Source organism: Homo sapiens, chromosome 2, assembly GCF_000001405.40.
Source record: "Homo sapiens chromosome 2, GRCh38.p14 Primary Assembly".
In the NCBI taxonomy this organism is placed as follows: domain Eukaryota; kingdom Metazoa; phylum Chordata; class Mammalia; order Primates; family Hominidae; genus Homo; species Homo sapiens.
The window spans coordinates 65,507,658-65,519,888 of NC_000002.12; the positions used below are offsets into that span (position 1 = coordinate 65,507,658).

Genomic DNA, 12,231 nt, shown 5'->3' on the forward strand with positions numbered 1-12,231 from the left:
ATCTCATTGGATTAATACACCAAAATTTGTTTATTCATTTACTTGTTGATGGACATATGGATTGTTTCCAGTTTTTAGTTATTACAAATAATACTGCTATGAACATTCATGTGCAGGTCTTTGTGTGGACATGGTTTTTCATTTTTCTTGGGTTAACACCTAGGAATGGAATGGCTGAGCCATATGGCAGGTGCATGTTTCACTTTTTTTTTTTTAGTTGAACTTTGAACAACATGTTTAACCTTTAGTGAAACTGCCACACTGTTTTCCAAAGTGGTTGTACCATTTCATATTTCCACCAGCAGTGAACCAGAAAGTTCTAGGTGGCTCAACATCCTTGCCAACAAGTGATTTGGTCAACCATTTAAATTTTAGATATTCTAGTGAGTATGTAGTGGTATCTCACGGTTTTAATTTGCATTTCCTAATGACTAATGATGTTGAGCATCTTTGCGTGTGCTTATTTGCCATCTGTATATCCTCTTTGGTAAATTGTTCAAATCTCTTGCCCATTTATAAAATTTGGTTGTTTTGTTTTCTTATTGAGTTTTGAGATTTCTTTACATATTTTGGATACAAATCTGTTATCAAATGTGTAACTTGCATATATTTGCTCCTAGTCTGCAGCTTGCCTTTTCATTCTCCTAACAATATCTTTCAAAGAGCAAATGTTCTCAGTTTTATTTCTTTTTTCTCCATAAGAGATTTTAGAATCTTCCATAAGTGTTCTTAATTTTGATGAAGTCCAATGTATTGATTTTCTTTTATTGATTTTGCTTTTGGTGCTGTTTCTAAGAAATATTTGCTTAACCCAAGGTCACAAAGAGTTTCTCTTGTTTTTTTTTTTTTTTTTTCCCTAGATGTTAATAGTTTTAGGTTTAGGTCTGTGATCCATTTTGAGTAAATTATTTTTAATTAATTTTTTTTTAAGAGACAGAGTCTTGGCCAGGCATGGTGGCTGACGCCTGTAATCCTGCCAGTTTGGGAGGCCAAGGTGGGTGGATTGCCTGAGCTCAGGAGTTTGTGACCAGCCTGGGCAACATGGTGAAACCCAGTCTCTACTAAAATATAAAAAAATTAGCCGAGCGTGGCAGCATGTGCCTGTAGTCCCAGCTACTCAGGAGGCTGAGGCAGGAGAATTGCTTGAACCTGGGAGGCGGAGGTTGCAGTGAGCTGAGATCACACCACGGCACTCCAGCCTGGGCGATAGAGCGAGACTCACCCCGCCAAAAAACAACAACAACAACAACAACAACAACAAAACACAACGAGACAGAATCTCACTCTGATGTCCAGGCTGGAATTCAGTGGTATGATCACAGCTCACTGCAGCCTTGAAGCCAGGGCTGAAGTGATCCTTCCATCTCAGCCTTTGGAGTAGCTGGGACTACAGGGGAGTGCCATGTTCCTGAACCATTTTCAGTTAATTTTTTCTGTATAGCGTGAGATGGGTCAAAGTTCTGGGTTTTTTTTTCCTTTTTGTATATGGATATCCAATTATTTCAACACTATTTGTCAAAAAAGACCATTTTCCCCATCAAATTGCCTTTGCACTTACGCAAGTTACTATTTCTTAGTCTCCTATTTTTCTATTTGTCTATTTTGAATTCAATACCACACCATCTTGATTATTGTAGCTTATATTAAGTCTTAAAGTTACATAGGGTAAATTCTCCATATTTATTCTTCTTTTTCAAAGTTGAATTGGTTATTCCAAGTCTTTTGCATTTCTAAATGAATTATGTTTTTATTTTTTATTTTTGAGACAGAGTCTCGTTCTGTCATGCCGGCTGGAGTGCAATGGCACGGTCTCAGCTCACTGCATCCTCTACCTCCCGGGTTCAAGCCATTCTCCTGCCTCAGCCTCCCAAGTAGCTGGGACTACAGGCATGCGCCACCACGCCCAGCTAATTTTTGTATTTTTGGTGGAGATGGGGTTTCGCCATCTTGGCCAGGCTGGTCTTGAACTCCTGATCTCAAGTGATCTGCCCACCTCGGCCTCCCAAAGTGCTGGGATTATAGGCGTGAGCCATCGTGCCTTTCCCTAAATGACTTATATGATCAGCTTGTCAATTTTAAAAACCACATTGTTAATGTAAAAATGAATAATATAATGTAAAATGTAAATGTTAATGTATACATATATGTATGATTTAATGTGTAATATAAAAAGCCTGCTGGGATTTTGACTTGGATTTATTATAGCTATAGATCAAATTGGGGAAAATTTACATCTTACCAAGTTCAGTGTTGGATATAAGTGGTAACAGCAGACATTCTTTCCTTGTTCTGATGTTGGGGAAAGCAATCAGTCTTTCACCGTTAAGTATGATGCTAGCTGTAGGGTTTTCAGTTATCCATTATCAGGTTGTAGAAGTTCCCATCTGTTCCTAGTTTGTTGAAAATTTTCATCAGGAATGGAGGTTAGATTTTGTTAAATGCTCTATTTTGTATGTATTGAGCTGGTCACATGTTTTTTCTTTTTAAATTTTTGTTCGTTTGTTTTTCCATTTGTTCGAGATGGAGTCTCGCTGTGTCACCCAGGCTGGAGTGCAGTGGCGTGATCTTGGTTCACTGTAACCTCCACTTCCGGGGTTCAAGAGATTCTCCTGCCCCAGCCTCCCGAGTAGCTGGGTTTACAGGCACCTGCCACCACACTCGGCTAATTTTTTTGTATTTTTAGTAGAGATGGAGTTTCACCATGTTGGCCAGCCTGGTCTCGAACTCCTGACCTCAAGTGATCCTTCCACACTGCTGGGATTACAGGTGTAAGCCACCACACCTGACCTTTAATTTGTTAATATAATGAATTAAATTGATTGATTTTCAAATGCTTTTTTTTTCTGGGAGACAGGGTCTCACTTTGTCACTCTGGCTGGAGCAGTGATGCAGCGAACACGGCTCACTGCAGCCTCAACCTCCTGGGCTCAAGTGATCTTCCTGTTTCAGCAACCTCCCTCCACCCCTAACCCCACCCCAAGTAGCTGGGACTATGGGCATGTGCCACCATACCTGGCTAATTTTTTTTATTTTTTTATTTTTATTTTTATTTTTATAGAGATGGGGCTTCACCATGGTGCCTAGGTTGGTCTTGAACTCCTGAGCTCCAGCAATCCTTCCACCTCGGCCTCCCAAAGTGCTGGGATTACAGGCATGAGCCACCATGTGCAGCCGAGATTTTTCTTTCTTTTCTTTTCTTTTTCTTTCTTTCTTTCTTTCTTTCTTTTTTTTTTTTTTTTGAGACGGAGCGTGTCTCTGTCCCCCAGGCTGGAGGGCAGTGGCGCAATCTCGGCTCACTGCAACCTTACCTCCTAGGTTCAAGTGATTCTCTTGCCTCAGCCTCCCGAGTAGCTGGAACTACAGGCATGCCACCACGCCCAGCTAATTTTTTTGTATTTTTAGCAGAGACGGGGTTTCACCTTGTAGGTCAGGCGGGTGGTGATCTGCCTGCCTTGGCCTCCCAAAGTGCTGGGATTACAGGCGTGAGCCACTGTGCCCCACCCTGAAAGTTTTCAAGTGTTAAACTAATCTGGCAATTCTGGGATAAAGCCTTCTTGGTTAAAATATATTATTCTTTTTGTATATAATTGAAATCAATTTGCTAAAATTTTGTTTTAAGAAATTTGCATCTATGTTCATAAGTTTTCTTTTCTTGCAATGTCTTTGGTTTGATTTATAGAATGCTGATCTCATAGGATTCCATCCCTCTTCTTTAGCTTTCTGGAAGAGTTCATGTAGAATTAGTATGACTTCTTTAAAATTTTGGTATTATTATTTTTTTCTTCTGCTTACTCCGAGTTTCACTTTCTCTTCTTTATGTAGTTTCTTAAGAAAGAAGGAAGCTGAGGTTGTTGACTTGAGCACTTTTTTCCTCCTACTTTAGTTGAGTGCTATGGATTTCCCTCTAAGTTCTGCATTCCCTGCATCCCACCCATTTTGATGTGTTGTGTTTTCTTTTGCATCAGTTCACAATGCTAATTTATCTTTGATTTCTTCTTCGACCTATGGATTAAGAAGTGAGTTATTTAGTTTTCAAACATTTGGTTTTTTTGAAATTTTTTTTTTTTTTTTGTCCAGGAGGCATTTTATTTGTAAATCTGTATTACACATCTAGAAAAAGAATGCCAGGATTTTCCCTCCTGTGTGTTTTTGTCTTGCCTCTTCATGGTCTATGATGCTAGCTGAGGTTGTCAGTACAATAAAACCAAACTGGTGGGATGGAAGAAGATTACTCTGCCATTTTTCTAGATCTTTGAGTTGCACATCAAATCTGGGGCTGATCACGCCACACTTGTTTAGCCTGCCTGTGGGGCAGCTCTTTGATCATCAATGATTTCAGTTTTGCCAGTGTAACCATGCTTCATCATCATAGTGAAAAACTGGACGATGACTTCAGAGCACAGCCTAATAAGAACCTGAGTTCATGGCCTCTCTTTTCAGCATTGTCGATGCTCTTGAGAGCATCAGCCAGGACATTCATGTGCACCATTGTGGCGGTGCAGAAAGATAAAGGCAAGAGGACAGGAGGGGAGAGCGCACAGAATTATTGAGATATATTTTTCTTATTGATTTCATTTTGGTCACAGAGCATACTTTGTATAACTCGAACCCTTTTAAATTATTGAAATTCGTTTTATGGCCCAGAATTGGACGATTTTGGTAAATGTTTTTTTGTGTACCAAAAAAAAAATGTATATTCTGCCAATCTTGGGTGGACCTGGAAACTTTCTCAAGCCAGTAGGCCGGGGCACTCAAAGAGCTCATTTTGTTTATTTCCTGTCTCTCAGGAATTGGTATACTTCATTGCCTTATACCCAATGTCTTCAGAACAACTGTTTCATATATTTGTCTATTTTATAAGTTGCATTTGGTGGAAGAAGAGTAAATCTGGTCTCTGCTATTCCATCTTAGCCAAAGTGAAAGTCTCTTTGAACTGCTTTTTAATTGAGTTTTCAGTCAATATTCCTTTGCTAGCCCTACCTTAACCTTCCACTTCCAGAAGTAGCTGGTACTGACTATTCCCGGACCTTTTCGGTGTTTTTAGATGTCAGTTGTTTTGTTTCTTGGCTTTTCTCACTGCTGGTTGTGGAATCTAATAAATATTCTAGCAAAGTTATTAAAGCAGAGCTGACACTACACAGGGGACCCTGAAATTAGACAATCATGGCTCACTTGTCATTTTCTCATGAGGCCACATTTGTCTGGAACAGGGCCTCAAACTAATATACCAACAAGGGCTCTCTAGGGAGAGAAAATGAATGAAAACATGGGTGCAAGATAACTGGAAGGGGTGGGGACAAACATAACTCACCTTGTTTAGACAACTCTGCTCTCATCTCCTGTGACCATGCAAGAAAGAAGGCCTGGTGTTGCCGGATCTTCCAGGAAAGTTTCAGAGAAGCTGGAAACGCATAACTTTATGTAAAATTGCCTCTTTTTTTCTTTCTTTCTTTTTTTATTTGTTTATTTTTTTTGAGATGGAGTCTTGCTCTGTCGCCAGGCTAGAGTGCAGTGGCGCCATCTCGGCTCACCACAACTTCTGACTCCCTGGTTCAAGCTATTCTCTTGCCTCAGCCTCCTGAGTAGCTGGCATACAGGTACGCGCCACCACGCCCAGCTAATTTTTTTATTTTTAGTAGAGACAGGGTTTCACCATGTTGGCCAGGATGGTCTTGGTCTTCTGACCTCATGATCCACCCGCCTCAGCCTTCCAAAGTGCTGGGATTACAGGCCTGAGCCACCACGCCCAGCCCAAAATTACCTCTTTTAAAAATCTTGAGAACTCATCTAAATTTAAAAGAATGTCGAAGGCCAAATGAAAATCCACGTAAGGATGGGATGACAGCTCAGGATTTGCATCTCTGTTTCTCTTTCGCGCTTTCCTGCTCCATTATGCAGGGATGTGGATATTCACTGGCCTTTGGGGACTGAGGGTGGGTAAGTCTCTATGGGTAGCAAGGAAATGACAGACTTTCTATGAAAACCAACTGAATCATGGAATGAGAGAGCTGGAAGTGACCTTAGAAAAATGTGGTCAAACCCCAGGATATTACATAAGAAGCACCTAAGGCTTAGAAAAGTCAGGTGACTTCTCTAAGTACAAAGACTGTATTAGTTAATAGTTGGGCTGAGTCTGCATCTAGTTGCCTAGCCAAATTTTCTTTCTTCTGTGTTCCATGAGAGCAAGAGATATGTCAGTATCCTTAATGCAATTCTTGGTGCATAGTAGGTATTCAATGAATATTTGTTGAATTAAAAACACATACTGAGTTGCTTTCTATAATATTAGCATGTGCTATCTTTATCAGTTAGGATATGGTGTGGCTACATATAACAGAAAATTCCCAAAACATTAGCTCATATACAATAAAGATTTATTTATCTGTGAAAGAAATGTGGACATTTAGGGTGTCAACAATGTTCTCATCTCTTCTGGTTCTGTTTTACCATTCTTCGTGTATGGCTTCTATCCTTAAATTTATCTTATGATACTGAAGCTATAGCCATACAGCTCAACTAAATTCCAAGATGGAAGAATGCAGAATGCCTCCATGGCAAAAGGTTTTCCTGGAAGTTCCACCCAACTTCCACTTAAATCTCATAGTTTGAAACTTAGATAAGTGGCCACATGTAGTTCCAAGGGAGGTTAGGAAAAGGAAGTTGGATACATTGTCTCCTTGAATAAATCTGGGTTTTGTTAAAGAAAGGATGGAATGGGTATTTAGTAGGCAACTAGCAGTATCTGCTGGAATTTAAGAGTTAATTATTGATTGAAATATTGTTTCCTGCAGTTTTGATATGCACAATAATCAAAGCAGAAATATGTAAGCCTTTAAAGATATTTATCAGAAGATATTCAAACAAAAAAATACTGGTTTAGTTCAGATAATATTCTAATGTTCTGGTTAAATCATTTTAGAAAACATTGGTTCAGCTTCAGTTCATGTTAGTTCAGTAGGATTTTACTGGTTTTCATGGAAATCCTTTTGGATGAGTCCACAATTTAGAAAAACATAATGTTGTATTTCAGTTCAGCACTCGGTTTCAGAAATGAGTGTGATCTCTTTGAATTTTTGGTTCATAATTTGAGTCAACTCCAGTTCCTGTTTCTAATGTATCCACCCTAGACATTTTGTAGTTATGGCTTAGAAAGACAGACATGGGCCAAAGAACTGGTTTCCACTGAGGCTCGAGTTTATTAATCCTGCTCTTCTTATGTAGGAGCCAATAATCCTAATGGCTTTGAATGACTCTAAATTTATCTCTGTGATTTGGCATGACTAAAGGTCTCACTCATGACAGACATGCCAAAATTAACACATTAGCCTGTTTCATACTTGTTCTATGATATAAATGCACCTAATTGAAAATGTCTCTGTTCTTACTCATAAGTTTTGCATTCCCGTGGTTTGAGATTTCTTTTACCATGTTAGTTCTAGAACACTATTCTGGATTTTGTATGGTGTCTCAGAAAATACACTTAAAAATTAGAGGTTCAAGTTTTTTTTTTTTTTTTTTTTTTTTTTTTTACGGGGACTGAGGAGGTACTGTACATTTCAGAAGGAGAATGTATGTGGGGAGTGAGAGGCTCCTTCTCCAGGGAATCCCGCTGATCAGGGACTGGGAAAAGGTGGCTCAGCATTGCCAGATACCTGGAGTACACTACAACATTTTAACTACAAATTAGAAATCTGAGTTCCTATGAAAAACCCTGATTTGTACATATCAGCCAATAACTTAAAAAATTAAAATCAACAAGTGGGCCACTACTGTGCTGGCCAAACAGTACATGTCTATAGGTTCAGTTATTGGGCTGCTGGTTTTCAGAGTCTGATTTTGACACTGCCTATTTTTTCTATGTCCTCCCTGTCCTCTTCCATGCCTTACTTGATGATTCTGCCCTTATTCTTTTGGATAAAAATGTTGATAAAATATTCAAAAGTAGGAACCCAATTCTCTGGGTATGACTGTATGCTTCTCTCATGGTCATTGGCCACCCCTATGACATTTATCTAGTCAAGTTTGCACATATAGCCATTGGTCATAAAGTAGAATGAGCAAGAGGCTGTAAACGATGCACTACAATCCATCTCACACAATTAACCTGGTAGAAGTCTTCATGTTTATGTGCTACTTATTTGTTTTCCAAAATGCATTCAAGGAGTGCCAGCTGCGTATGGCAAGTGGAATGCACAGTGGGTACATACCCTCCACTGGACTTTACTTATTTTCAAAATTTGAATTAAACAGAAGAAGCCCGTTGCCCTCTGGTCATAAGCTGTGAGGATGTGAGCCTAGAAGCCACCAGCAGACATAGTTCCTTTATCAGGAGAAAGATGGTGTGAGAGAATAAAGCCAACATGCTGAGATATGCATTATCTTTCTCCTGGATACTGCAAGGGCTTCCTGACTTGTCTTCCCGTTTCTACCCTTGCTCCACAGTCTACTTCCAACACAAAAACTGGAGTGATCTTTAGAAACAAAAGTCAGATGTCACCTCCTTGCTTAAAATCCTGCTTCGGGCCGGGTGCGGTGGCTCATGCCTGTAATCCCAGCACTTTGGGAGGCTGAGGCTGGTAGATCACCTGAGGTCAGGAGTTCGAGACCGGCCTGGTCAACCTGGTGAAACCATCTCTACTGATAATACAGAAATTAGCTGGGCATGGTGGTGGGCGCCTGTAATCCCAGCTACTGCGGAGGCTGAGGCAGGAGAAGCGCTTGAACCTGGGAGGTCGGTGGAGGTTGCAGTGAGCCGAGATGGCGCCATTGCACTCCAGCCTGGATGACAGAGCAAGACTCAATCTCAAAAAAAAAAAATATATATATATATAGCTAACACCAATACACATTTTCTACATTTTCTATGTGCCAGGCATTATTGTAAGTGCTTTATGCATATTCACTCATTTAATTCTCACAACAGCTTTATGAAGTTGGCACTATTATTATCCATTTATTAGATGAGGAAGCTGAGTCATTGAGATATTAAGTAATCTACTCAAAGTGCCACTGTTAATAAGCATGGGGCCACAATTTAAACTCAGGCGTCATGATTTCAGAGTCCACTGAAATCATAATGAAAGGTTTTCAGATGATAAAAAACCCACCTCAAATTGGCTTACATAAAAAGTGGAACTTACTCCCTTCTATCATGGACCAGTCCCTGGCGCTATCCCAGTGTGCCGTCAGTATTTGGTACTCTTCTCTCTCATCTCAGCCTCGTTCTCAGGCAGCCTCTCTGTGTGTGGTGACCGCAGCAACACTGGGTCCACATCATTTTCAGCTTCGAGTTTAGAAGACAGAGAGGAGCTTGTGCCGATAAGTCTCAGGACTGAGTCTCAGTGATCCCAGTGGGGTGTCTGACTCATAACTGAACATTTCACCCTGGGGCCAGGATAGAAGATACCAATTGGCCAGATCGTGGTCATGTGACAACCTGTCTAACTATGGGTTAGGGGATGGTGTTGATTTTGTATCACCAGAGCCATGTAGGCCAAGAGTGGGTGAGGAGCTGTTGCACCAAATATAAACAGGGTGCTATTATAAGTAAAAGGATGGCCGGGCACGGTGGCACACACCTGTAATCCCAGCACTTTGGGAGACCAAGGCGGGTAGATCACCTGAGGTCAGGAGTTCGAGACCAGCCTGACCAATATGATGAAATCCTGTCTCTACTAAAAATACAAAAAAATTAGCCAGGCGTGGTGGCAGGCATCTGTAGTCCTAGCTACTCAGGAGGCTGAGGCAGGAGAATTGCTTGAACCCGAGGGGTGGAGGTTGCAGTGAGCTGAGATCATGCCACTGCACTCCAGCCTGGATGACAGAGTGAGACTCCGTTTAAAAAAAAAAACAACCTCAAAAAACCCAAAAAACCAAAAAAAAAAAAAAAAAAAAAAAAAAAAAAAAAAAAAGGGTGGGGGGATGGATACTGGGTAAGGAAAAATATTGGATGGCCACTACAGGCAGACACTGTGTTTTGTTTGTTTGCTTGTTTTTTGTTTTTTTTTTCACAGATGAGGGGCCTAGGGTTCATAAATGCTAAGTGATATTCCCAGGACTATAGATCTAGAGCATGGCAGGGCTGGGATTTGAATCCCAAAACTTTTGTCTTGTCATAAAAAGACAAACTTGGCCAGGTGCGGTGGCTCACACCTATACTCCCAGCACTTTGGGAGGCTGAGGCGGGACAATCACCTGAGGTTGGGAGTTTGAGATCAGCCTGGCCAACATGGTGAAACCCCATCTCTACTAAAACTACAAAAATTAGCCAGGCATGGTGGCAGGTGCCTGTAATCCCAGCTACTCGGGAGGCTGAGGCATGAGAATCGCATGAACCCAGGAGGCGGAGGTTGCAGTGAGCTGAGATCTCACCACTGCACTGCAGCCTGGGCAACAGAGAGAGACTCCATCTCAAAAAAAAAAAAAAAAAAAAAAAAAAAAGACAAACTGGAAATGACGGGAATGGTAGTTGTCAGGGTGGTCTTCAGGGTCCAGGGACTGCCTGGTGCTCTGTCTATTCGCACCATCACTTCTTTTTTCCTGCCTTTTAGCTCAGCCCTGAGGGGCTCCAACTCCAGGACCCCAGAACTGGTTTTCTTTAAGAAAGGATCTGGAAGGTGACAGGGAGGTGAAGGAGTGGAGCTTCCTTGAAATGGCAGACCCAGAGACCTAGAGGAGCCTTGCTTCTGTGGTCTAATTGGACTAATTTTAGGCTGTTAATTAGCCTCTGGCAATTATTTTTCACTCCAGAAATTCCCCAGTTTTATTTACACAGAGTGATTTAGCCTTTTCACAGACAGAGTTATTTCCTTATATTTGGTTCTGTTTAAAAAAACCTCCAGTCCCCAAAGCCTTCCAAAAAGCTGGGCCGGAAGCAGAGCCCAGGATCAAGTATCTGCAACTTCAGAGGCAAGGAAGGTCTGGGGGCTAAAATTCACACAGTCAACAATTTTAAGCAGTTTAGGCCAATGCTCACTTGTTCTTTCTTTCCCTTCTTTCCTTCTTCCCTCCATCCTTTCCTTACCTCCTTTCTTTCTGCTTAAAACCCCTCTGTTCTTAATGTGCTTGGCTTATACTCCTTAATAGATACTAAGCATCTATTAGAAGTCAAACATTTTGGGAAGAGCTTAAGAGAGGCTATGTTCTCAGTAAGATATCTATAATTTACCTTCACAAAGTTCAGCATAGACAGAAAATATTGAGTTTGTGCTATTTGGTAGAAGCTCTGACTCCAAGGGCAGCACCTCTTGCCAAGAACACAATCAGGGCATAGTCAGCTCCATTCCAATTAGGAAGTTAAGGCAGCTGCTGTGAGCACCAATGATATCCATATCTTGATCAGTACCTTATGTTTGGCTTAGCATAGTGAATGTCAGAAAGGGTTTTTATTAATTCAAGTAGTAGCTAGTAGTCTGCACAGTGAATGTGGGCTCTTAACTGGGTGAAACTGAAGATATTTGAGATGCGTGGATGGGGCTAAAATAGTTCAGAACCACTCACATAAATAGGTTAGAGAAATCTAGGAAGGCCTGCTGCCTGCACCCTCAGGGAAGGCATCAGAAACTTGATCCCAACTGGTCCTACATCTAGCCACTTGTTAGGAGGATGTCTGGTTGCCCAATGCCACGTATGAGGGTAACATATGTGTTACCCTCATATGTTGTCATAAGAGAATGTTGTCATATGAGACTGTTGTCATATCTGTCTCAGATAAACTTTTCATATAAGACAGTGGCCAAAGCACTTCAAAGGGTAGAGAGCTTGGGTTTCACGGCCCTTAAAGATCAGACTTTATAAACTGTCTTTCATTTACTAGCTAATAAGTTCTTTTTTAGTGAATGTTCATATATGTGGCAGAATTTGATGTGAGATTTCCCATCAATGTCATGGGACAGGGAGGGTGTGGGAAGCAGATAAACCTCACCCACCTGGAACCTCACCCACCTCCAACATCTTCTTCAGTGACTACTGTTTCCACCAAAGAGAACCAACATTGCATATACTGAAACTGGCTTAAGTTTGTTTGCAATAACTCCTTCCCTTCAGAGAATTTGCATCTTAGCTAGAAAGATGAATCTATTAGGCCATTTTCACACTGAAGATGGGCTACCCAAGATTGGGTAATTTATAACTGGAAGATACTACCCAAGATTGGGTAATTGATAAACAAAGGAGGTTTAATTGACTCACAATCCTGCACGCCTGGAAAGGCCTTGGGAAACTTATAATCAT

The 12,231-nt window shown here is 40.9% G+C and overlaps 1 long non-coding RNA gene and 1 pseudogene across 2 annotated transcripts in view; both read right to left on the bottom strand.

Annotated features, from left to right (window-relative positions):
* Positions 1-11,256, bottom strand: part of LOC105374781 (uncharacterized) — a 31,293-nt gene extending 20,037 nt beyond the window's left edge. For both annotated transcript variants that reach the window (XR_940192.3, XR_940191.3), the window contains exons 1-2: positions 11,168-11,256; positions 5,312-5,401 (exon numbers count right to left, since the gene is read on the bottom strand). This is a non-coding gene — a long non-coding RNA (uncharacterized LOC105374781). The remainder of the gene's footprint in view (positions 1-5,311; positions 5,402-11,167) is intronic.
* RPS15AP15 (ribosomal protein S15a pseudogene 15) lies at positions 4,111-4,489 on the bottom strand (annotated as a pseudogene).
* Positions 11,257-12,231: the final 975 nt, after the last annotated feature.